Source organism: Homo sapiens, chromosome 11 (genome assembly GCF_000001405.40).
Source record: "Homo sapiens chromosome 11, GRCh38.p14 Primary Assembly".
Classification (NCBI taxonomy): domain Eukaryota; kingdom Metazoa; phylum Chordata; class Mammalia; order Primates; family Hominidae; genus Homo; species Homo sapiens.
In genome coordinates, this window is record NC_000011.10 from 125,240,014 (window position 1) to 125,267,128 (window position 27,115).

Genomic DNA, 27,115 nt, shown 5'->3' on the forward strand with positions numbered 1-27,115 from the left:
TGAGCTAGGAGATTGCAATTTACATTATGCAAATAGACGTTATGCAATCAAGGCACTTTAGCAGGAATCTGGCGGCAGAGAGGCCGATTGATGAGATGCCGAGGTCTGCAGCCCCAACTGGAGGCGCCCCGGAAGAGTGAGATGGAGTGGGGAGGGGGTGGACCGGGCAGGGGAGGAGGCAAAGAGTCTGTTTCCCTGGCCCAAGGAGGCCGAGTGGAGCCGGCCCAGAGATGAACGCATCTGGGAGCTGCCAAGGCGACTCTCTCAATTAATGGCTTTGTTTAATCATACCCCCTGTCCAGAAGAGTATTGTCTTACGGATAATTTCGTTTGCCTAACGAGATTTTGCTAATTAAATCTCCTTTCAGTTGGTGTGACTATGCCTGCAGGAGAGGTGGCTATTTGGAGTCTTCTCCATAAACCTTTCTGGAGAGGAGCTGGGAAGGAGGGATGGGAGGGAGGAGAGAGAAGAGGTGGAAAGGGAGAGAGACCCTTTCCCGCTGCAAGCAGGGCAAGAGGCTTTGAGCAGAGTTTGGAAGCTGCAAGGTGGCTGCCACCACCCAAATCGCCTTTCTTCATCCACTGAAATGCAGTTCTAAATCCTTGTCCAGCCTGAAAGGATTTCCCTCTTTTTTCTTTCTCTGTGGTGCCTGTCACTTCCACCATTACCCATTCTCAGATCCTTCTCAAATCCTCAGAGGGAGAACCGGGAGGCTTATAAGAAGGTTCTGAAGGGTTTCCAAGTGCTGCTCCCAGTATCCTTGGCTGTGGGGGGACTAGTGATGGTGTAGGGTCCCCTCCTCTTGCCTTTGCAGTTAGCCAGCCAAGCTGGCTCTTCAGAGAGGAAAAATTGCTCCAAAGCTAGCCATTTCTCCAGGGATAGTTGCATGGATCAAAGAGGAAAATACCTCATTAGACCCATTTATCATCAGAGCTAGCCAAGGAGAGCCTCCCGTATCTGGAGGAGCCTAGCGCTGTGCTTGCGATAGCTGGAGCCTAATTAATGCTGCTGTGATATGCGGCCATGCCATCCCCATGCTGGACCACCTCCAGTGGTTCTTTGCTATCCACAGGTTGAAGTTCAGCTTTCTTGGCCTGGCTGACCATGGGCTTCACGGTTCAACCCTGGTCTACTTTCCTAACTTCATCTCTCACCCTGCAGCTGCTCCCCATCCCTGTAAATACAGACACTCAGATACACAGGCACACTCCTATAGCTGAAACCCCAACTATGCCGGATTGCTCAATCTCCCCCAACAAATACTCTGTGTACTTTTATGCCTCGGTGCCTTTGCACATGCTGCTTATCTGGACTATCCTCAGCCTGGGCGGCCCTTGCTCATTTATCTCCTCTGTGACTTCCTCCTTACAGGCCTTCCCAGCCTCCCCCATCCCTATGCTGCTGCGTTCCTTTGCCTGTAGACCATCACAAGACTCAAACACAATTATTAGTCTATCTATCCATGTAAACCATTGAACCCCATTCTTCTTTCAATCCCAATACCTTGAATCGTTCCTGGTCATAACAGGCACCCTACAAGACTGATTAAGAGAAAGGAGGGGACTGGCGCGGTGGCTCACGCCTGTAATCCCAGCACTTTGGGAGGGCAAGGTGGGCAGATCACGAGGTCAGGAGTTCGAGACCAGACTGACCAACATGGTGAAACCCTGTCTCTACTAAAAATACGAAAATTAGCCAGGCGTAGTGGCGCATGCCTGTAATCCTAGTTACTCAGGAGGCTGAGGCAGGAGAATTGCTTGAACCCAGGAGGTGGAGGTTGCAGTGAGCTGAGATCATGCCACTGCACTCCAGCCTGGGTGACAGAGCAAGACTTCATCAAAAAACAACAACAAAACAAATGAACAAAAAAAGAGAGAGAGAGAGAAAGGATGAAGGATGAATGTATGATTCAAGGTGAAGAGGGTGGAGTGATGGAGAGGTACTCTCCAGTTAAGCCCCCAAGCTCCAGGATGGATGGTGAAGGTGGAGGGGGATGGCGGCGGGGAGCAGGAGACTGATTTCTGCTGACACCATGCACCATGCAGAGGGAGCTGCCTATCCATTCATCACCTTCATTTCACAAGATGAGTAGGGGCACTTCATCTGTGGTTCCCCGTCTATGTGGGGGCCCTGTGCTTGGTGTGTCGCTGTCTCATTTCGCACATGCTCACATGTGAGGTGGGTACTATTTTTGCAGAGGGAACTGAGGCTGGCCTGTTGTCATCGGAGGGCAAGGCAGTGTTGGTCTGTAACGGGGCCCACTGGGGAACCCCAGGAGCATCTCCCTGTAGGGAGGTAAAAGCTCCTATACTTCCCAGTCTCCCCTCTTCATACCCCCACCTGCCCATCCACCCATCCATCCTTACTGGAAGCTAAGCCGCTCTGGGAGTTTGCCCTACTCTCTCTCCCCACGATGCCAGGGTTCATACATGTTCTAGGATGCCTGCATGTACCTGCCTGTGTGTGTCTGCATGTGCTGGGGGCCTGAGTGGTGCACAGGCCCTGAAGGGTGGCCTCTGGTTACTGGTTCTGGACTGCTGCCCAGCTGGTGGGGGGACATCAGGGGTGGAGGAGTCTGCATTCCATGCTGGGGATAGAGCAGCCCAGGGGAAATGGCTCAGGTCTTCCTGTGCAATGCGGGGCAGGGATGGGGGGAGGGCGGGTTGTGTGTGAGTGTGCGAGCGAGGCAGTCTTTCAGGAGAGTGGCGGGTGTGTCCTTCTTGGCTCCTGAGTTTTAGTGCCCTGCTTGTTGTTCTTTGTCGGGGCACGTCTGTCCATGGCCTATCTCTTCATCTAGGCTTGCAATCATCCTCACGTCCCCATCATGCTCTGCTGAGCCTGCAGTGTTTCTAGGTACACAGTAGGTGCTCAACAAATGCTCAGCGAATGCAATGGATAAGTGAAGGATTGAACAAGTGTGCATTTTGGTGTCAGACAGACTTGGGTTCTGTTATTTACTTAGCTGGGAACTTGGGATTTAATTTTCTCATCTAGAAAGCAAGAATAATAATATTTCCTATTTTTTCTTGAAGGGTTGTTGGTGGAGGATTAAAAGAGATATGTGAAAGTGTTTTATAAACTATAAAGCACTGCACAAATATAAGAGGTTATTACTATAATGGTTATCACACTTGAAGTGATCACTGTGTTTGAAAATTAGGGATTCTGTTTTCAGGAATGTAAAATCATCTAGGCCTGATTTGAACTCTGGGACTTGTAGAGCAATGGTTATAGGAACTGGTTCTAGATTCAGCCAACAGTGGGAGCTTTCAGGGCCTGGAGGCTCAGCCCAGAGGCCCTTCCCTCTCCCCTTCTGGGTGGACTGTCCCTGGGGTGGGAGGATGAGTCTGAGAAAGTGGGCCATCTTCAGTTAAGCCACCTGTCCCCAAAGTGGGCCCATGGAAATCGTCTTCCCAAGTCTCTGCCATTGTCTGGACTCCATGTCTCGTTATCTTTGCATATGCTGTTCCCTCTGCCAAAGATGCTTTTCGCTCTTTTCTCCACTGATCTTTTCACCTCTTGTGCCATAGTTGCTGCACTCTTTCCAGGCACCCAGGTTACCAAGTTTACTGCCATGAGGGAGTCTATCACAGTATACCTGGGACTTTCTTTTTTTTTTTTTTTTTGAGATAGGGTCTCGCTCTGTCGCCCAGGCTGGAGTGCAGTGGCGTGATCTCAGCTCACTGCAAGCTCCGCCTCTTTGGTTCATGCCGTTCTCCTGCCTCAGCCTCCCGAGTAGCTGGGACTACAGGTGCCCGCCACCATGCCTGGCTAATTTTTTGTATTTTTAGTAGAGACGGGGTTTCACTGTGTTAGACAGGATGGTCTCGATCTCCTGACCTCGTAATCTGCCTGCCTTGGCCTCCCAAAGTGCTGGGATTGCAGGCGTGAGCCACCATGCCCAGCCTGTACCTGGGACCCTTAAAGCCTGCCTCTCTTACCAGTGTGCACTGCCAGGGGAGGTACTGGGCTTCACTCATTGCTGGAGCCCCAGAGCCAAGTGGATGAATGGATGGAAGGATGAAAGATGAAGGGAAGGGTTGGAGCTTGGTAACTGCACAAGATTGGAGCTTCTGAAGCACCCTGAGCTACAGGGCAAAGCAAGGAAGAAGAAGCTGCAGAGAGATCAGTACTGCCTTGCAAATCACCCCCACATTTCTGAGATATTTCCCAGCCAACCTCATGCTCCAAATGTCAGCAAGGCTGATCTTCCTTGGGGTCACAGGGTCTGGGGACCCCAGTCCCCTGTAGGTGGGTGTCTGGCCCTCAGCCAGCTGGGCAGTGAGGCCTACATGCTGGAGCTGCGTCCTGAGGATGGAGAGGCATCTGCCTGTTGCCGACCTCTAGAGGTGAGCAGTTCTCCACCTGGGGATGCAGACGCTGCCTCCCCTTATCCCCAACCCTTCCAGATCTGTCTCTTGGTGGGGTTGGCCCCAGCTGGCAAAGAATCTGCTATAAACCCTCCCAGGGACCTGGCTCCCTCGCCTTCCCCCTGAGTTGGAGGCATCTTGTGTCTTGCCTGCTCTAGGCCTTTCCCACATTGCCCTCCCACTCCCAGCCCCAGGCAGCCTCAGCAAAGTGCCAGGGGGCTGGGAGGCTTTTCATTACCAAATGCACTGAACCTATTTGTGAGTGTTTTGCAAAGTGTTTAATCCAAGGTGTTCCCTCAATTAAATTAGTGCAAACATCTGTGTCCCACATCCACCTCCATTTGCATTCTGTGCCATTTATTACAGCGGGAAATTGGAAGGCACCTTAGGAATACTTAGGACTGAATTAGGCTAGGTTGGGGTGAGCATCTGGGGGAGGGCAGGGTGCTTGTGAGACTGGTCTAGAAAGTGGATCCTTTTCCAGGCTGGGACTTGTGAGGACCCATTTCCTGGTGCAGGAGACCACGTGGTGGGTGGTGTCTGGGCTTGAGACTACCTGGTCTCATGGGGGAGACTGGGTGAATTTAATTAATGCCGCCACTCCCCACCTGGGACCATGTACCTGCAGAGGCAGGAGAAGTTCACTGTTGCTGTTTTATAACTTTAAACCCAATTTTTAAAAAAGTGTATCAAGTGACCCATCTGGGACTCTCCCTGGGGGAGACCTTCCATGCTGGAAGGTGTGTGTTTTATCCTGAAACTACTCAGCCTTGGTGGCTGGCTGAGCATGGCTGGCAGCTTCTCTTCCCTTATGCCATGTGATCCCCATGACTGTCAAGTGTTATACTTTAGGAGTCCTACTAATATACCAGTCTAGGAGGCATCAGAGAATAGTTTCTGCTGTGTGACAGGCCTGTGCCAAGTGCTTCACATGCACTATCTGTGGTCACCCTCCACCAGCCCTCTGAGTCAGGACAAACCAGGGACTGGAGCTCAGAAAGGCCAAGCAACACATTCATGTTTCCACTGCTAAAAAGCAGAGCCACCGGGATTCAGACCTGGGTCTGCATGACGCCAAAGACTATGTGCTTTCCACTGCACTTGGAGCTCTCTCTCAAATGAAGCAATTGGACTTGGCTTTGAATCAGGAATGGTGCGGCCTCCCCCAAATCCTCTGACCAGCATGCCCTGGCCGGGTTGTACAGAGGCCCTGGTCCTAGCCTGCCCCCATTAGGATGGCTTATCCTGGGACTTCTGGGGACCTATGATGGGTAAGCTCAGGCTGCTGCTGACTCACCAGGAGAAGGGGAACCCTGGCTTCTGAGGGATGGGGCAGGGAGCAAAAGGAAAAGAAGTTTGAGGAGTGAAGGAGAGGCTCATAGGTTGCTGAAGGGACCTTAGTGGTTACTGAGTTTCTCAGTACTGAGTGAGGAAACTGAAATTCAGGCTGGTCTGGAACCTTAGGACTCCCAACTACTGGGAGGGAAGTGATGCCAAGGCCTGGGAAAGTCCAGGGGTTTTGTTTTGTTTTGTTTTTAAGGGTGAGTGCTATCTTTCTAGATGCAAAATGTAAAATAAGATTGGAGCGAGAAACCAGGGTGGAAAGGGGATAGGAGGCTACTGTGGACCCCAGACCTCAGGAAGAAGAACCTCACCAATTCCTGGGGTTCTACCTAGAGATGTCCAGGGAACAGGAAGAATAGCCAGGAGGTGTCTTCATCTGTTTTGTGCTACTGTAACAGAATACCTGAGATGGGATAATTTATAGTAAACAGGAATTTATTTCTCACAGTTCTGGAGCCTGGGAAGTCCAGGATTAAGGTGCTGGCATCTGGCAGGGGCCTTCTTGCTGTGTCATAACATGGCAGGAGGCATCACATGGCAGAAGCACAAAAGAGAGGGCCAGAGAGAGACAGCAAGAGGGACTGGGACACATTCCTGCAATAACAAACCCACTCCCGTGATAAAGGTGGCACACTCATGACCTAAACACCTCTTGAAGGCCCTGCCTTCCAATATAGTCATAATGGCAATTAAATTTCAACATGAGTTTTGGAAGAGACAAATGTTCAAACCATAGCAGGAATATTCCTGGGACACGCTACTGGTGCTCATCTCTGCCTTCCCCTTCCCCGGTTTGCCCTGTGGTCTGGGCAGGACCACAGCATCTGGAGGAAGATGGTACAATGGAGGGACATTAAATTTGAGCTCAAATGTCTGCTGTCCCACTTCCTCCCTATGACCATGTCTTAGCCTTAGTTTCTCCATCTATTAAAGAATAATAATGATCTCACCCCACAGGATTGTTGGGAATATTAAGGGAAATGTTAGGCATGCTTGACCCTAGATGGGGACTCAAGACATCACTGTGCATTTTGCTTTTTCTTCCACAGCTCCTGTCTACTTTTCCCTCTTAGGCCCTGTGCTTTGATCCTGGGCATTAGGGAGGCTGTGGAGATGAGGATGGGCAACCCCTGCTTCAGCTCACCCTCCTCACTTTCCCATTCTCTCTCCTCCCTCTCTCATCAAAAGACTTTAATAAATGCATCTCAGCATGTGACACTGCCAGGGGCTTTACAAGAATAAGTTGCTTATCCCAGCCCTTACTTCCTAGAAATGACAATCTACAATAAAAATGCATTTATTAAGCACTGGCTGTGTGTAGTACCCAGTGCTAGGCACAGCAGGGTTAGCCTGAAAACGACCCCCAGGGCCTCTTGTCTCCTCCCAGGCCCCAACAGTTTCTGCTTTCTTTGGAATTGGCAGATCCCAGAACCATCTGCCTTTCCCGGCAGGATTTTGGGCTTCTGTACCCCTTTGTTCCTCTGTGCTTATCCACATGAGGTCCTCTTTGCCTCGAATGCCCTCTACACCCCATGTTTACCTGGTTGGAACCCAGTTTCCTGATGAGGAGTGCCTCTGTGACAACATCTGTGCTGGGCTCATCTTCCTTGAGCTCACAGTGCCCACTGAACATCCTCCTGGGACTCTTCCTCACCCTGGGTTTCTATACTGTCTCTACCAGAGGTGCCTAGCTCTAGTGAAGGGCACTAGAGGCCAAAGTATGATGTCCTAGAGCCAGCACAGGCCCTGGGGTCATCTCTTCTGCCTTGTCTGCAGGGCAGATTATGCCCAGTCCCTCCACAGCAGCAGAGAATGCTGGGTTATTGGAATGCCTTCCCCTCTCGTTAGCCTTTTGCACTCAATAAATGCTTGTTTTGTTGGACAACTTCAGCAGCCTCCTTCACTGGCATGCTTGAAGAGAGGTTGTCAGAGCAGCAGCCTCCCTCTCTAGTTTCCAGGGTGTTCAGTCTGAGAGCCCTTCCATGTCTCTGTTACTTGCAATTCTAGTAAGGATTTGCTGTCTCCCCACCCAGCCTCAGGATATGGGATCTCCAGAGGTGCGCAGGATAGGCAGAGAAGAATGACCCTTAATGTATTGCCCCTGTATCTTTGCCAAGGACATTTCCTTTTCCCAAAGTCTTTTTTTGCTCTCCACATGGCCGAATTCTTCCCATCCCGCTAGCTCCTATCCACCTCTTCCACAAAGTCTTCTTAAGAAGATCCTTCAGGGGAAAGCAATTTCTTCCTCCCAGAGCCCCTGGCCTGAACCTCCTGCCACTGACCATCCCAGGTATGTCTGTGTCTGTCCTTTTCCCCTGGGCCATGTCAGTCCTCGGTCCATGGCTGATGCTTCTGTAGCCCTCGCTCTGCCTGGCCTGGCTCTTGGCAAGTGCTGAATTTGCAATAGATGTTTCCCAAATGAACAAATGAACAGGACTATTTCTTGTTTGTCTCAGAGGGAGGTGTCTGGGTTTTTCTCTCATCCACTGCTTGGAGTTTTCTGCTCCAGGGTTCTAATGAACCTGAAGGCAATTTGTCACTAGTTACTGGAAACTAGATGTTATGGCCAGCAAAAGAAAAGCAGGTGTTAAATTCTGCTTGGTATACTGAGCAGACTGGAATTACTTTTGCACAGCAGCTCTGTCGGGTCCCAGGACACTGATACTCTACAGGCAAAGCCTCCAAAACAGAGTAAACAAGATGGGCCATTGGAATAAGAGAAGAAAATCTTGCGACTTTACTTATTTGTATTTTTAAAAAATCTTATTTTACTTAGATTTCTATTTTTGAAATGTGTTTTATAAGACACATCATATACTGGTAGAGTAGTGTGGCTTATATGCAATGTATATATTGTAACATATAATATAGATGTATTATATATAAGATATATAAGACATATATACAACACATACACATATATGATATGTGTTATATATAATACATGTTATGTATGTTATATATACACATTATATATAACACATTTATATTATATGTTATAATATATACATTTTATACAAGCCACACTACTGTACCAGTATATGGTGTGTCCTATATGATGGGTCTCACTATGTTGCCCAGGGTGGACTTGAATTGCCCTCAAGTGATCCTCCATCCATATAACATATATAATATATATATATAACGTATATATATAACATATATAATATATATAACGTATATATATAACATATATAATATACATTATATAACGTATATACATGTATATATACATACATATATACATATAATATATGTATATATAACATACATAATATATTATATATAACTTATATAATATAGTATATATAACCTATATATTATATATAATATATATAACACATATATACACACACACATGTTTATATGTGTGCATCTTGAGGGTGATTATAAATTTTTACTGGTAGAGTTTTGTAAACATCTGGGGATCCTATTCCCCTGGGAATCTCCGGGTCTTAGGACATGGCAGGCACTTGCAAATATGTGTGGCTGGACTCATACTGATTTAAATGGATACTATGGGATACTAATGGATACTATTGGAGAATCTTTTAAAGTTTTAAAATTTGACTTTGATTTGGTCCTCAATGATTTACTTCTAAATAGTATAGCTAGAGAACCATGGTGCAGCAAATAAACAAGAATAGTCAGCCCTCTGTATCCATAGGTTCCACATCCACGAATTCAATCAACAGCAGATGAAAAATATTTGGAGAAAAGAAAAAGGGATGGCTGCATCTTCACTGAGCATGTGCAGACTTTTTTCTTGTCATTATTTCCTAAACAATATAGTATTACAACTATTTACACAGCATTTGCATTGTATCAGGTATTATGGGTAATCTGGAGATGATTTAAAGTATATGGGAGAATATGTGTAGGTTATATGCAAATACAACACCATTTCGTATCACGGATTCGAGTGTCCATGGATTTTGGTATCCAAGTGGGATTCTGGAACAAATCCCATGCAGATACCAAAAAACAACTGTATGTGCCTTCTGTGTACCAGGTTCTAAGATAGGAACTGGGGCGACAAAATTAAAATAAAAAATTTTGGGCTGCACGCGGTAGCTCACGCCTGTAATCCCAGCACTTTGGGAGGCCAAGGTGGGTGGATCACCTCAGGTTGGGAGTTCAAGACCAGCTTGATCAACATGGTGAAACCCCCATCTCTACTAAAAATATTAGCCAGGTGTGGTGGCGCATGCCTGCAAACCCAGCTACTCGGGAGGCTGAGGCAAGAGAATCGCTTGTACCCGGGAGGCAGAGGTTGCGGTGAGCAGAGATCACGTGGTTGCATTCCAGCCTGGGCAACAGGAGCAAAACTCTGTCTCAAAAAAAAAAAAAAAAAAAAAAAAAACAATTTAGACATGGGAGTCTCACTATGTTGCCCAGGCTAGACTCGAACTCCTAGCCTCAAATGACCCTCCCACCTCAACCTCCTGAGTAGCTGGGACTACAGGTGCATGCCACCATGCCCAGCTTGGGGTGATAAATTTGAGGTCCTTCACCTCAAGTTACGTATATTTCTTTTTTTCAAAAACAAACAAAAATAACTAAACAAGAAATTTTTGTAATGTAAATTTTCAAACAGATTTCAAGAAAGAGAACAAGCAGTAGATCATGAACTCCATGTACTCATTACCCAGCTTCAGCAACTATCAGCCCTCCCTCTTCACTGGGGTTGTTTGGAAACAAGTCCCAGGCCTTGTATCATCTCCTCTGCAAGAGCTCCGGTGCGCACAGCCTTTTAGAGACAGGCAGACTTCTCAACAAATGCTGCTGTGTTGCGGGAGCTGTGCCAGACCCCACTGGAAAGACCTGGGCCTAGCGCTAGTCTGGAGGGATCACCACTCCCTGGGGAAAACAGAGAGAGGTCAGGAATGATTTTTATATCGAGGGTGTCTAGGCTGAGTCACTAGGCTTAACTTCTAGGCTCCTGTGTTGAAATTTCAGAACGACAGAGGTGACCTGCCAGATAAGGACTGAATATGAGAGGAAGACACACCTATCGGAGGAGACCGCAGGCTTTCACACAACATAGATGGAGCACTTACAGCTCTCACAGTCTGCCTCCCTTATCCCACAATGGGAAAACTTAGGCTCAGAAAGCTGAGGCCTCCTCCCCACAGCTGCACAACTGGAGATCGGCAGGGCAGAATGGGGCTGGGCCCAGGTTCCTCCTTCTGCCTCCCCTCAGCATATGGGGGACCCCTGGCCGTGCCAGGCTGGGCTTGCCTTTTTCACACACCCAGGTTTCTGTGGCTGGGAACAGCATAACGCTGATTGCCCAACAGGCTCTGGGCTGCGGGCGCCCCTCCACCCCCTGGCAGCTTCTGGAGGGGGCCAGCGGCCTGTAGCCCCCGAGTCATCACGGGAGGCGTGTGACTTCTTCTTTCTTCCTGTACAAGTTGAGCACTTGCCACCCTGCTGTCTGTTTTTCCTTGCTAAGGTTCAGTTCTAATTATGTTGATTTTCTTCATCCCATCCCTCCTGGAAGCTTATTAGGTTGAATATTTTTATTTATTATCATTTCGCCCAACTCCTGCCAGCATTTCCAATTACTCTCCCCGCTTCCTTGTAATTGTCTTTCTGTAATGGCTCTGAAACAATTGCGCTAAATGAGGTGTCTCCTGGAAGATGAGAGTCTCACTTCATTAAAGGCTAATGTATTCTCAGCTCCAGCTCTGTGGGGCTAGCTTGGAAGGAAGACATTTAAACAGCTTCTTTTATTTTATAGGGAGCAACTTTTCAGCGACAAAGATGTCTGTGGGGTATATGTGTATGTGTGTGCGTTGCCTGGATTTTAATTTAAAGAAAGTTTATGAAATAGTGTAAGTCCCTTTATTGATGAGACTCTGTTCTCTGGGAGCTGAGATCTACACAGATGGGGTGCAGGGGAGCAAGAGGGGAAGGGGCAGTTGATTCTGAGGTCCGCCTGCCTTTCTGCTGGTTCCCAACCCAACCTCTCTTCCTCCATTCCTGCTGGCTCAACCCCCAGATGGATTCATGCCTCCATCCTGTGTTTCTACCTCCTCATTATATATTATATAAATATATATATATATTATATTTCTACCTCCTCAGCTCAGATTCCACTGTGGTGATGGCCTCAGTGATGTTATTTTATATCAATCAAGTTTTTTTTTTTAGTTCATATATCCTGTCTCTTCATTGTTCATTCATTTGTTCTATTGTCATTCATTCAACACCTGTCCATTGCCCACTCTGTTCAGGCCTTATTCAGGTTAGAGATATGCCTTTTGGAGCTTATAGAACGGTAGCAAAGAGAGACAGCTGACAAGTAAGCAGGCACCTCTAGCACAATATGTTAAGTGCCTCCATCAGGCAAGGCCACAGCGCTCGTCAAGCGGTGAAGAGGGCACTTTGTGAAACCTTGTGGGATCAGGGCTGATACCTGAAGTGGCCAGGGAGTGAGTGGAAGTACTCCAGGCAGAGGGAGCTTGGTGAATCACATCCTGGTAGCCAGAGAGGGCTTGGCTGATGAGGTGAAATGCAAAATTTCCCACATTTCAGGAGCATCGTGTGGGACAAAGGCTGTGGGGAAAGCTGGGGCTGGAGACTCTGGAGAGTCTCGAAGGACGTGGAAGAGTTTTAAGCAGGAGATTGATTTGGCCAGATCTGTGTTTTGGAAAGGTGGCCACTGCTTCAATATGTGGAATAGATTGGAGGAAGGCAAAAAAAGAAACAAGGCAAGGAGACCTTGCAGGAAGCTGTTGCCAGAGATTATGATGACCTGCCTGAAGCCAGAGGCAGTGGAGAGAGAGACCTGTGTACCTTTATGAGGTGTTTCAGATGGAGAAATGGCAGGCTCAGAAGGGGGAGTGGTGGGAGGTAGAGGAGGCACCAAGGATGGGCTCTAGGTTTCTGGTTTGGGCAACTGGTGAATGTTGAGTGGTGGGGTCCTGAAAACGAGGACAAGGTGTGGTACCCAATGAGAGGTCCATGTAGCTCCCCCGGGCTGCGAGATGACCAGGCACAAATCCCAGCAGAAGCTGGCCACCCTGGTCACTGTCACCAGAGGACCTCTACCAACCCGGCCTTTGGGTTGGAGGTGGCATCAGGGTTACAGGTGGCATCAGCTCACTCCTTCAGGGGGTCATAGACAGCTGCATCTGTCGAGTTCTTAAAAGCACCTGGATGCTGTGAGCTGTCAGCTGAGCAGGTCACTGATTGGCTCCAACTTCTGTCCCAGGCAACACAACTCATACCAAGGCCTTCGGCTATTCACCAGCAGCTCCCAGGGTCAAAGGCTACCTCTTCTAAGGGAGTTGTCATTGCACAGTCAAGAACGAGTAGGAAGGCCCTTCCTGATATGTTTGGGTTGGAAGTGAAGAATTTAAGTACAACTAAAAATATCTTTATGCTTCTGAGGCATTTGCTTAGGGTCCCTGGAAGCTTGCCCACAACACTCGTGGTGATAGCAATAAAAATCTTAATAAAACTTTTTCACATTTATCAGGGCCTACTCTTGTCCCAGATACTCTTTGAGGCACTTGCATGATAGCCTCTCAGTCCTATCATGTAGATATTATCATTTTTTCTGTCATAAAGAGGAGGAAACAGAGGCACAGGGAGAAGTACGCAGGCTACTGGGCCTCCCCTGTGGCAGTTTCCTTCTCAGAATGAAAGAAGGAAGGAGAGAGTCCTGCTGGCCAGAGCCTGTTTGGGTGTGAGTGAGGAGGAGAGGAGGGTGGCTCAGCCCTGCCCTCCGCTTGCTGTTCTGCTGCTCCTCATGTGCACGTGTCCTTCAGGGTCCCGTGCAAATGCCACCGATGGTCCCAGGCAGAGCTAGGACTTCCTTCCTCCCTGGTTCCCAGACTTCATACATTTCTCAGTGATAGCACCGCTGATTTGTCGTGATTCCTTGGCATGGCTGTCACCTCATTTCTACCTTGGGTTTTCCCAAGGAAGGATCCTGGCTCACTCATCTCTATCACTGGCACCCAGCACAGAGCCTGGCACCTAGTAGGCTTTCTATGAATAAATAAATGCTATTAGGGAAGCCAGGATGCTCAGGAGGGACCCTGGAGGTCGGAGTCAAAGAGGACCCCCTGGTTCCCTTCATCGCAGGAGCAGCCAGGCGTCTAGATATGCCCCAGATTGGACTCAGCTCTTCCCAGGGACCCACTTGGTAATAAGGGGGCGGTTGTCAGGAACACACATCTCTCTGCACTCTGGGGAAATGTGGGGGTTGGGATAAGTGCTCCTGCTGGGTGGGAGCATCGAAGGAAGCCGCGTCTGGCTGGATGTTTATCCTGATGAGGTTCTTATGTAACACCAGGCTTCCTCCAGCTCCTAGGGACTGAAGAGCGCGCACACCAGGGAAACAAACAAATGGAGATGCGAACCACTTGTGCCATTAGACAACTGAAGGGAAGAGGTGTACACATCTGACGTCCTCAGCAAAAATTTAGCACCAGGGCAATTTCCGAACCGCTTTTTACAAAGAAAAAAATGTCTCTTTATATATTCCAAGTGTAAAAACTCACCAGTGGCTTCCATCTCCCTGAATCTCAGATGGTGCACTGATGGCCATTTGCCAGGGCTGCAAAGGGGCGATGGGGTTCCTGGAGGTTCTACCCAGCCCACCTCCCTGCCATGGGGCTGGTGCCACCTCCTCAGCAGCTCCCTCCTCACCCAGTGGGATCTGCCTGAGGGCAGCAAGGGGAGAAAGAAAAGGGAATGCAGTCCCAGGTCTGAGCCAGGAGTCCTCGTCTTGAGGCCTGATCACTAAATGGCTGTGTGACCTTGGGCAAGTGGCTTACCATTCTGAGCCTCAGTTTCACATCTATACAATGAAGAGAACAGTCAGTTCTGACCCGCCTAACTCACTGGCTTGTTTTGAATACCTGTACCCTGCACAGGTTGTGTAGGGGATCACAACCGCATTGTGACACTACCTGTCATCCGAGCTGGGTCAAAGCTGAGCCCCAGGTGCAGGTGAGTAACATGGCATCCCCTGCTTGCTCTAGCCAACCTTCTTTTCCTCCTGTTCCAGAGCTGAGCCCTGTTCCCACCTCACCTTCTGTAACATTGATGACGGTGTCCAGGTGAATTCTAAGTCTGAGGTCCCAAGGGGCTCTTGGAAACAGCAGATGGGGATGGCAAGTGGCCTGCACAGTGCTGGACAGTGGATGGTTTAGGGTAAGAAGTCTTAGAATCCTGGAATGGAGCTAAGTGGAAAATCACTTTACGCACTTCTTAAACATGTATTAAAGACTTACCACACACCCGGCATTGTGCTAGATATTGAGGATGCAACGCGAATGATACACAGTCCCTGTCCTTTCAGGGTTTGCTGTCTAGCAAGTATTCCAGATTAATGCCCATTTACCACCATTTTATAGATGAAAAAATAAGGCTGCCCAGGAGGGAAAGTGACTATCCTGGCCACATGGCTGGTTAGTGCGCTTAGCAGGATCAAAAATCGGCATTGTGAAGATGAAACGAGCGAATGCATACCCAGGACTCAGAGCTGTGCCTGGAACCACCCAGTGAGGGTTCTCTATATGTCTCCATGACATCTCCAGACCCCAGGAGCATTTCCGTGATGCCTCAAGACCCCTCATTTCCCTGAGCTCTAGCCTCGCTCATATCATGAGGTTGGGCATTTGAAATGAGCCCAGCCCACCCCCGGGATGAGACTGACAAAGGCAGGACAGGGATGACAGTGGGTCCTGAGGCCCTTGACCCTGGCTCTTATGGGAGCAACCTGGGCATTTTGTTCCTTTATTCAACCAATGCTTATGGAGAGCTTGCCCCATGCCAGGCACTGGGGCTCATTGCTGAATGGCACCAACAAGGCCCCAGCCCTCAAGGAATTTCTGTGTTAGTGGGGAAGGGGATTGGACAATCAACTATAAATAAACACATAAACCAGATATTTTCAGAATGAGACAAGAGCTGTCCAAGTCACATGCGGGGTGACGTACTAGAGAGTAACAGGGTGGTTGTTGGGAGGTGGGGGGCAAGGTGGGGGACGGGCTTTGTTCACTTCTGGAAGTCGCCCTGCCAAATGAGCAGGGTTCTGGAGAGACTCTGCCCAGCACCAACACACCAGAGTCTCCCAAGTTCAGCATTCCAAATAAAGGTAATCAATACTGAGATGGTCTCTACCCTTCCCAGCCCCTTGCCCACAGCTAGAAGTCATGCATCTAGTATAGGCTACCTCAGTTTTCACCAGTATCCCCTTGGAGGGCTCCATGACCTCCCTTCATCAAAATCTGGAATCAGGAGTAAAAGAAATACAGAAAGACCAGGACTGTTCCTCTGATGCTCCTCGGCCCTGAGTTCTCCAATCTCAGGAAATGAGGGAACTTAGCCTGCTGGGAAGACGGTGGGGATGGACTCCAGGCTGAAACGTCAGGGTGAAACTTCCAGAACTGAGAAGCCACAGAAAATATTTTATTCCAGGGCAGTGGCAATTGCTGGGGAGCTACAGCAGCCTCCCCATTCCATGAACAGGGGAAGACCCAAGACACAGTTTCCAAGGCACTTCAGGGCCCAACTAAACAAAGCCAGGAGCCTGCCTAGGACATCAGACAAGCAGAGATAAAAAGGGCTTCAGGGACTGGGTTTCTGTATGTGGGTGCCCACTGAGTCTGTCTCTTCAGAAGTCTTCAGAATCAAGTATCCTCCTTCCTCTGGGACTGTTCCCCACCACCCTAAACCCTGGGCAGGCACCTCAGGTGAAAACCAGGAAGAAGGGAGGTTTTCCTGACCAGGTAGTACCCACTCTGTGCATTTGGGGCCGGGGAAGGGCACCCAGACTCCATCCAGTGAGTTCCTGGTGCCACCAAGCCAGTGCTGGGGTTGCCAGGCCCCAGGTACACACTTATCTCTGGGGATTGGTGGTCAGCGGTGCCTCCCCCTGCCAGTCCTCATCCTTGAGCCCCTGAACCTCAGAGCTCCATTTTTGTTCACCAACCCCCTGACTTGGCAGCCCCCTGAGAGATACTTTTTTTCCAGATAGCCACTTCCTGGTTTCTCAGCAGATCAATCCCGCTGCTCTTCTCTGGCTCAGCTGCTGTAGTGGCTGCAGATTTCTTAGTAATGATCTTCCTCCAGGAGCAGGGGAGAGAGAGGCTTCTGCTTCCGTTGCAGCCGCCTCTGTCTCGGCTGCCAACATCAAAGCTTTCCTTGTGGCTTTGGTAGAATATTGAGAATTGCGAGATAATTAAGTTGCATTTCTGTGCATTGTTTACTGTTGCTCTCAACCAATCACTATTCCATAGGGGCTAATCTGTGTAGGGTTTTTTTTTTTTCCTTCTTCTTTGCAGTGCTTGTTTGTACCACATTCTTCATTATGCTTCAGTTACAATTTTAATTTTACTATTATTAAATCTTCCCCAAAGCTGTATTATTCTGTGCCTCTGAGCTGGAATTCCTGATTTGGGGACTGTTTGCATCTGGGCCTGTTCACAAATGATTGTTCTTGTTTACAAAAGAACATACATTAAAACTCAGCACTAGAGGAATCCCTGCTCCTTTTCCTCTTCGCTGTCCCCGGCTGGCTCACCTGCTTGTCGGAGGTAGGGGAGAGGGGAGAGGGGAAGCAGGAACCATCTGGTACTTTCTGAGATTGTGCTGTTGATAGAACATCTTCATGGCCTCCAATGGTCAAACCCGCCTCCAGTGGCCAAAGAAGCCAAGTGCAGGGGCTGGCCAGTGAGCTGGAGGCTGTTTTCAAGACCTGCAGGATCCCAGTAGGATACCTCCATGTTTATTCCAGCAATGGTTAGGAGTACGGGCTTCGGAATCGAACAAATCTGGATTTGAAATCCAACTTCTTCATTTACTAAGAATCTGACATTGGGCAGTTAGTAACTTCTCTCAGCCTCAGTTTCCCTGCTGTAAAAATGAAGAAGCAGCAGCTGACGATCCTGCCCACAGGTAAGGATGAAAAGGGATGACGTTTTAGAACAGTGTCCACCACACGGCAAGGACTTAGTGAAGGGTAGGTAAATTTAGGTTGCCCTTTTCATCGTCATTGTCACTCTACCATTCTGTCTCCTGTCTGTTTTGTTTCCATTTTTCTGCCCCTCTGAAGCTTGTCTGCTCACTTAGACTTTGCATGAGAGCTCGGAGGCTCAGGCCTGCCTCTGGTCTCATCATTAAGCCAGTGGCGTGGAGTAGGAAGCACTTTCCCTATAGCCTTAGTGACTGTTAACGGCAGGAATTTGTTAACCTGCCTTCCCAAGAAGGAAAAGTGGCAGGCCTCAGGGCACCTGAGCTTGCAGAAAGAATTCAGCCCTGCCCCAGTTGAAGATGGCCTTCCCTGGGGTTTTAGGACCCCAGAGCCAGCTGCCAGCCCCCTACTGCCTTATTGTCAGGTCCCAACCCTGGCAGAACCAGTGCAGCTGGTCACCAAAGCTTTCTTCCGCCACACCCACCCCAGCACCCCTGCAACCTCAGCTTCCTCATAGACTTTCCTTAGCTTCTTTCTTCCTGTCACCCTGTCCCCTCAAGCACCATGCACACACTAAAACCATAACTTTTTCCCCCTCTTTCCCATTATCTCTAACCCATATACTCCGGGAAGTTTAATTTGTTCTCGGTAGTAATCACCATTAACTAGAAATTGTCTTTCTCTGTGTAAACACGTCATTAGTGAAGCTGGTTTTCTGCAGGGTCCAGATTTCATTTTTATTAAAATGAAACACTTTCAGGCACCTCACTGTGTCCAAGGAAAGAGAGTATAATTTTAACCCATTGGGTTGGCCACAGATAATTGGGCTGGCATTTGATTGGACGATTAGGGAAATATCTTCTTTGCATGCAGTATAATTTGCATTTTTTTCCCACTTATATGAAGCTAAGTCATGCTTTCGTACACAGGCAGTTTTAATGAGCATTATAAATCCTAATGAATATATTTTCATGTTCATTTTATTGGCTTGTTTTTATTACTAGAGGTCTGAAAAACAGGGCCAGAGAGGGAGCTGCAGAGGAAATGGCAGGGGAGAGAAGCACTGTGGCAGCCTTCTGCCCCCTCCCCTGCTGCCGCCCTGGCTGCCAGAGGGTGGATGACTGGCAGGGTGGGGTCACCCAAGTCCTCTTTAACCCAAACCAGAAGTTGCTTTGGGTCCCCTGGGGATGCAGAGAACATGTCTCTTGCCTCGGGGCCAGAGGAGCTCCTGCTGCAGCCTCAGCCTCAGCTCCAACAGTGACAGAAGCCGTGAAAACAGCAAACCCTAGTTCATCATGGTCTGCCATGGAAGAGGGAGTGAAGTATTTCTGCATAGTGTCGGACACATACTAGGATCTCAATGCAGATTAATCAAATGGAATCTGATTGAATTCTTCTTCACAAGGAGCCAGCCACCACATCCAGAGTATTCATTCTCGGTCATGACACTGAAAGGCAATTAACAAGTGTACAGAGAGTGAATTTTTCCTGGATGATTCTGGAGGTTCTTCAAAATCCTAGGGTCTTTGCACATCATTGTGAGTATCAATTCTCGGTCCCAGAGTTTTGCTTATCTCTAAAATGAGAGGATACATTCATTCATGCATTCATTCATTCACTCATTTAAGACGCATGTTAGACACCCACTATGTTCTAGACACTGAGGCAGGACATACATAAGGTAATCCCTAAGATTCCTGCCAGCTCTGACAACTTTTTTTATTCTGTAATAAGTGACCAATAAAGTGAGATTTTTGTTCCAGTTTGTGGCTTTGGTTTTAAGATCACTCCCCGAGTGATTTTAGAGTTGGGTCTCTTTTCATTAGGCACCCTAAGTACCTCTGTTGTACCCTGGCCCCCCTGCATATCAGCAGTCCCAGGCTTCCACACCACTGAGGCCTTTTATCCCTGCTCCCCACATGAGGCTGACCTGTGGACTTCCGCGTGGCCCTTTACCTTTGCCTCTGGCTGAAGGGCATCCTTGGCATGTCTTCCTTTGGGATCCTGGGGATGGCCCACCTGCCTTGGCTTTGAAGGCCTGGCCCACACTGGGCCATGGGATCTGCTATGGGCAGGCTGGCTGGGAGTCTGCTATGGCTTCACACATTGTCTACTTACTGACCTACTGCACCTCACCACACAGCCTGCTTTCGGTTGACTGTCCTAACCCCATCCTAACTCTGCCATCCCACCCCCATTCTTTTTTTTTTAATTCTTTTTTTTTTTTTAAAGAGACAGGGCCTTGCTCTGTTGCCCAATCTGGAGTGCAGTGGCACAATCACAGCTCATTGTACCCTCCAGCTCCTGGGCTCAAGCGATCCTCCTGCCTCACTCTCCCCAACAAGGACTACAAACACATCACCATGCCCAGCTATTTTTTGCTTGTTTGTTTTTTGTAGAGATGGGGTCTTGCTATGTTGCTCAGGCTGGTTTTGAATTCCTGGCCTCAAGTGATCCTCCCGCCTCAGCCCCCCAAAGTGCTGGGATTATAGGTGTGAGCCATCATGCTTGGCCCAATTTTTGTTTTATGGTTTGTTTGTCTGCTTGTTTTGTGAGATGAAGTCTCGCTCTGTCACCCAGGCTGGAGTGTAGTGGCATAATCTCAGCTCACTGCAATCTCCACCTCCCAGGTTCAAGCGATTCTCCTGCCTCAGCCTCCTGAGTAGCTGGGACTACAGGCACGTGCCACCACATCCAGCTAATTTTTGTATTTTTAGTAGAGACGGGGTTTCACCATGTTGTCCAGGATGGTCTCAATCTCCTGACCTCGTGATCTGCCTACCTCGGCCTCCCAAAGTGCTGGGATTACAGACGTGAGCCACCATGCCCAGCCTGTTTTATGGTTTTTTTTAATCAGAAAGGTGATTGATGCTCACATAGGTTGGGAGTTTTGAGGATGTTTCAGAAGTTAATTCAAGTAAAGACGAGTTCTGTTGCCTTTGCCACCATCTCTTCAACATGGCAGCTCAGTGCTTGGGGGTGACGTCTCCCTAGTAGCTGCAGGCTTTCGTGAGTTGCATTTGGGAGGTCAGCCCTGTTTTCCATTAAGACTACATCTTCTGCCACCCCCACCTCTCCATGCACACACACGGCTGAGGACGTCTCGCTGTGGCCTTGAGGACAACTTTATGTTTTCCTGCTATACAAGAGATGTTTACTGAACAAACACCACATGCTAGATTCTGTGAGAAACAGGAGAAACTAGCAAAGAGGCCTTGTGGAGAAGTGGGAAGGAAGCTGGCCCACAGTGGAAGGCCTCAGTGAATTTCTGACTTTGCTACTTTCTGCTGTGTGGCCTCAGGTAAGCATCTCACCTTCCTGGGCCCCTTTTTCCCCATCTATAAAATGATAATAATAATTACCTATGGCACAGTAAGTGATAGGGATTTAAATGAGATACTGATTGTGGTAATGACCTGGAAACTGTAAATGCTTGTCATTTTTCAGGTGGAATGTGACCAAGTTCCAAAGCGATTTGGATCGTGGGTCCTGGGTTATAGCCTATTTCTTGTCTTGGAAGGGCTGGTGAGGGGGAAAAGGGATGTTTGCTGTCAGGATGGGATGTTGCTGCTTCCTGGAGTCACATATTTATGTTATCTGTCTTTTCCAAAGAGGAGAAACAGAGAAAGGGCTCTGGCTGGAGTTCACCATTGGGATGGTTTCATAGATCTGGTTTCAACCTCACCACCACAGAAGACCATGATTGCCAAGCGAGTGCCTGCACTTTGCCTTAAGAAATGAGCTCAAGTTGAGGCAATGTGCAATTCAGGGTGCCCTGCAGCTAAGCACTGATTTGTCTCTGTTGCATGTGGTAGATCAGCCTTGTCTTCCTTTAAGACTGCAAACTTCTGGACAGGGGTCCTTGTGGAGACTTCTTCCACATGCTCCCTCCCCACCACCACACTCCCAGTGGTAGGCTCAGGGTTGCTCATCTGTTCAAGAACTGCCTTTCAGTGACCTCATTGGCCAGAAGCAGGAGCACCAGTGATACTCTCAGCAGGGCATCTCACCCCCAAGTCAAGGCTAAGTGTCTGCAACTGACCAGCTGGTCTTGCTCAAAAGGGAGAACATGGCCAGAGGGAGCAGAGCATCAGCTCCAATGCCGCTCTTTCCGATCTGCAAACACAATAGAATTAACTGGCCCGAGACACCAAATTTTTGTGAAAAAGGTGGTGTAAGTGCAAAAGCAATCTGCTGGCCCATTGCAGAGCCAGGTCTTAAATTACAGAGTGTAATGGTGTTGGCACATTCCGAACTGTTCCCTGAGTCCCTTGGCATTCCTGGAGCCAAGGCTTCACAGACAGAGCAACTTCCCAACAGCCCAGGAGGGTGCGGGGATGCAGAGCAGCCCTCCAGTCCCCTGCAACCAACTATTTTAGGGCACCTGGAGGGGAAGAGCACTAAGAAGGGTGTTAATTCATTATGAGCCGTGATGGGGCACTGGAGGGGAGAAGTGGGCCCACCTGCTCACAAGACGCCTTTGGTGTCAGATCCAGCTCTAGATGAGGAAGGGCTGAAGAGTAGGGGCCAGACAGTGAGACAGTGGAGGCGGCGGTGGGGGGGTGGTTCTTTATGCAGCTGCGTCTCCCCTTGGGCCGGAAGGAGTGATGACTCTGGAGAGGTGGGGACGAAGGTCAGAACAGACCATGAGGAATGAAAGGACGCTTGTGTTCTGGCAGCCACGCGTGAGGATGGAGGACTGGTCAGGCACTCGGGGAGGGAGCGCTATCTCACCTCTCTGGCTGAGGGGGTGTTTGCTTAGCGTCCCGTCGCAGATTAGCCCACTTGAGTCTAGAAGTGCCACATCACGGTGGGAGGCGGGCTGGTGTGTTTGCGCTAGGTCACTCAGGGAGCTTGAGGCATTGTGGGATGGCAGGAGATGCCTCCCAGAAACCGATTTTAATGCCCGCTCCACCTTTGCCCTGCTCCCCAAGCAGCCCTCCCACCCTTCCTCCCTCCCTGTCCTTTCTCTACCCCACAGGCTTTGTCTGTGCAATCCTCTCTCTACCCCACAGGCTTTGTCTGTGCTGGGAGGGGCTCGGAACTAGCTGGGGGAGGGAGGTGATCTTGTCCTTTCTTTCCACTCGTTCTGGGCACCTCATCACCTCTCTCTTTTCTTTCTCTAACTTTCTCTGCTTCTCCTTACTTCTCTGTTTCCCTCTCCCATGCGTTCCCTCCTGCTCCTCTACTCACGTACCCTCCTTTTCCTCTCTGTGTCCCTCTTTCTATTTCTATGATCCGTTTCCTAGTGCTCCTTTTGTTCAGTCATCGGCGCCCCTCGCCCTCCCCGAGGTTGTGCCGGGAGTAATGCTGGTTAAATGCTGCTGTCTGCACGGGGCAGTCTCTGTAGTGTGTGCTGAATTGCTGCAGGGAGGGCCAAGAGCACAGCACAGAGGGCCAGAGCCAGTGGTGTGGTGCTTCTAGACTCAGTCGGGTGCCAGCCCTAGCTCTAGTATGCCCTGGTTGTGTGACTGGGGACCAATTCCTATTTTTCCTTGGGCCTCAGTTTCCCCAGAAATGCAATGGGGAGGACATTGCCCTACCCTTCAAGGACATGCCTCGGTTCATAAAGGAGACCTCCTCTCTCTAGAGCCAAGCTCCCCCACCCCACCCCCATCCTGCCAGGGCAGGCTCAGCCGCTCCCTTCCCGTCCCTAGCAGTGGGGGAAGCCGCATGAGGAGGAGCGGCGTGGGAGCAAATGGAGGGGATCTGCTGGCGGGCCTAGTTTAGGCAAACAGCAGGGACTGCTGGCGACGGCTCCAGCCCCCACTCCCGCGGTAACAGCTGCAGTCCAGCTGCTGGCATCCCTGCTGGGGGAGCGTGCTAAACCTCTCCGGGGTCAGCACTGTGGTATGTCGGTTTCCATAGCAACCAGCCAACGGGCCACTTTCTCAGAACAATTCCCCTACTCAGCCGGGTTCTGGACTTAGCTCAGCCCAAGGGCATGTGGCTGAGGAGCAGCGCGGGAGGGGGAGAGCTGCCGAGGGCCAGACTGGGCCCCACAGAACGTGGCTATCTCAGTCCGGTCTTCGCACGGAGGGCGTGGAGCCGAGGATGAGCCATGCAGACTCTTCCGGCGCTGGCTCTCCCTGGCCTCTCTCTGTGCCACGCCGCCCCCACCACCCGTCCACAGACTGGCCAGCTTGGCCCAGTTGGAAGAAGTGTCAGGTCTTTGTCTGAATCTGGAGAACAGCTGCCTTGGCTGGGTTCAGAGCTGGGAGGACAAAGTCCTGGAATGGCGTATAAGGGGGTGCGGGGAGGGGGCTTTTCCTGGCTTCCTTCTCCGCACCCTTCCATCCAGCTCTTGCAGGACCATGGGAATCCCAGTGACCTCAGGGGATGGGGGGCTAATCAGTCCTCCCCCACATTTAGAGGGTGGGAGAGGATCACCTTTCTCAAGCCCCTACAAGAGTTAACTCCCTGAATCTGAGCAAGTTGGTGCCATCCCTGACACTGTTAGGAAAAGGGAATCCTTAGAGGTGAAGATCCATTATGGGAGCTACAAGGGACCTCCATCCATTTTCTGGATAAGGAACCGGGACCCAGTGGAAAATGGATTGTCTGGGGGCCAGGATGGGTAGAGGCAGAGGGCGGCTGCTTCCCAACCCCTCTCCTCTCCTGGGCTGAGCTCACCGTATGTCCCCAGGAAACTGGATGATGCTAGAGCTCCTTCCCCAGATCCCTTGGAATGCAGCTCAGGCTATGGTGGGCCTGGGGTCCTGGGGAGTTTGTCACTGGAAGGGATTTCATTTTCAGAAAGGAGCCACTTGCAAATTGGGAAACTGAGGTCAGGGATAGTGTCTCTTTAGGCCTAATAACTGCAGGACTGGACGTTAGGGCTGGGACTTGGCTTCCTGAGAGGTCACCTGGTGGTCCCTGCTAAGACCTGGGAGGCGTAGAGCATTCTCGGGTGGGGTGGCGGGGCCGGGGGGCTGCCCAGCTGTCTTGATCTTCTACTCTGTGAAATTATTCCTCACTTTCAAGGGGCCTAGTTCTCCCTTCCCCACCCCCCATTCCTTTTACCCCCATCCCCTGAAAAGGAGGAGACAGATGTCCTTTCTTCCACACATCACAGCTGCAGCCAGACACAATTTCTCTAAGCCCTGGGAACAGGTGTGGAGTAGTTCTAAGCCCCCTAGGGATGTGGGGGACTCGAGAAGGCGGCCGATTTTAGAAGCTGCACGGGTTCCCATCCTCCCCTGGCCCCATCTGTGAAATGGGAGGACTGCTCTAGGTAAGCACTTCCCAGAGTGGGCTCTGGGGGCGTAAAGAAAGTTCCAAAGCTAAGCCAGCTTGGGAAAGCCTGTGTGAACACCTTGTCTTAAAACAGTTACAGGGCTTATGGCCGGGCATGGTGGCTCAAGCCTGTAATCCCAGCACTCTGGGAGGCGAAGGCGGGCAGATCACGAGGTCAGAAGATTGAGACCATCCTGGCTAACACGGTGAAACCCCATCTCTACTAAAAATACAAAAATTAGCCAGGCGTGATGGTGGGCGCCTGTAGTCCCAGCTACTCGGAAGGCTGAGGCAGGAGATTGCCGTGAACCCAGGAAGTGGAGCTTGCAGTGGGCCGAGATCGCACCATTGTACTCCACCCTGAGCAACAGAGCGAGACTCTGTCTCAAAAAAAAAAAAAGTTACAGGGCTCATTACAAGTTTAAAGACTTTAACTTAGGGCTTCCTAAACATGTATGACCAAGGCAAGCTGATTTCCGATTCAATGAACAAACCTCCCTGGCAAACACCGGCCTCTGCAAGAGGTTCCAAGGCCCTTCTCTCTCCGAGGTTCCTCTTCAGCACCCAGGATGCTCACGCCAATTCCTGCCACACACCTGACCCACTCCTCCTTCAGTGGACGCATCCCTGACACTGTTCTCTGCCCCATGGCCTCTGCTGCCGCCTCACCCTGCTGGCTGCTCAGTTGTGCTTGGGTTTTCTCCATCCCAGACCTTCAGAGAGCCTGAACAGAGGCAGGGGCAGTGCGGGGCTGTCACCCGGGTTTCTGAGGGGTCTAAGCCCCTCAGCTCAGCCCCCACCCCAATGGTCCCCAGAGGGTTGCGGGTCATCTGTGGCTTTTCTGCTTCACAGGGTTGGGTAAGGGCTCTAGAGCAAGGAGAGAAGAAAATTCTGGCCACCAAGGATCTCATCAGGAGGATCCTGAAGGGGGGAGCTTAAAGAGGAATAGGCGTTCCTCTCCTCACCGTCTAAACTCTCAGAGTAGTCACACCTCACATTCCGCAACCCTCAAACTTCCCAAAGGCCCTGAGTGTGCATGACACCCGCCCATCAGGAGACAGCTGTGGTGTGGTGGAAAGCGTGTCAGCCATGGAGGAAACCTGGGCCCCCAGCTCCATAACTGGCCAGGTCTCTGCCCCGAGGCAGGTCACTTCACCCCTATGCACACTTACCAAATTTCTCAAAGAAAGGAATAGTTCCTTTCTCACTGGGTTCTCATCAGAGTTGAATGATATGATAAATGTGACAATGGCTGGCTTGGAAGAGTAGCTCAGAAAGCACGAGCAGAGAGGAATTCACCACCTCCTCCCCCGTCAGTGGTAAGATTTCTCTGATTTTAGGAGAGAGAAAACTGAGGCTCAGACAAGTTAAGTCACTTGCCCAAGGTCACACGGCCAGTCACCCCCAGTCCTTTGCCTTCCTGCTTTGCTTCATTTCCAAGAAGATGCCTCTGAGATGGGAGATGTTACACTGACTTTTGGGGGCATTTAGCCAGTGTGATGTCCTTGATTCTTGAACCTTTCATCCTCCCCACTAGTAAAATGCCTGCGAGACAGAGGCTGGAAGACAGCCCTGCTTTTCTGAAGGGGTGGGATTATGGATGTGTGGAGGCAGGAAGGGGGTATTAATTTTTGTGAAAATAACTTTTTAAAAATAAAAGTAGGCTTCTGCAGTAAGACAATCTCATTTCAGTTTGCAAAGAGCTCCTCCCAGTAAGAAGGGAGAACGTTTTCTCCTTACCTCCTCGTTCCTGGCCACGCAGACCCTCGATAGGCCCTGCCACCATGTCCCTCTCACTCTGCGTGTGCAGCCACAGGATGCTGAGCTGCTGTCCTTGAGCCCTTTCCTTACAGCAGCAAAACCAATCCACATGCAAGGTCTGGAGGTCAGGACGGGACTCACGGCTTCTTCCCTACTTCCCACCCAGGTTCTAAAGTCATTTTACTTAGCACAAGGAAATGAGGAAAGAACAGGGGGAAATGAGGAGAAAGAACAAGCATGCCTATCATGCGCTCCACGTTGTGCTAGGGCCTTAGGAATGTGCCTTCGGCAAGCACTATATCTCCCTTTTGATTTTTCTGTGGAAAAATCTCCCTTTTGATTTCTCTGAGACAGAGGCTGTTTAGAGGCCATGAGAGGGAGGGGTTTTGTCCTTGCTATCATTGTCTGTTTCCGTCACCAGCCAAAGCACGGACCCTGATCGGTATCTCCATTTGGCTAACTCACCTT

The 27,115-nt window shown here is 49.8% G+C and overlaps 1 protein-coding gene and 1 long non-coding RNA gene across 29 annotated transcripts in view; one reads left to right on the top strand and one right to left on the bottom strand.

Moving 5' to 3' along the window:
- Nucleotides 1–27,115, top strand: part of PKNOX2 (PBX/knotted 1 homeobox 2) — a 268,639-nt gene that overhangs the window by 75,263 nt on the left and 166,261 nt on the right. The window lies entirely within an intron of this gene.
- PKNOX2-AS1 (PKNOX2 antisense RNA 1) lies at nucleotides 18,613–26,785 on the bottom strand. The gene is made up of 2 exons (NR_187382.1): nucleotides 26,627–26,785; nucleotides 18,613–19,098 (listed from the first exon to the last, which is right to left on the bottom strand). It is a non-coding gene; the product is annotated as a PKNOX2 antisense RNA 1 (long non-coding RNA).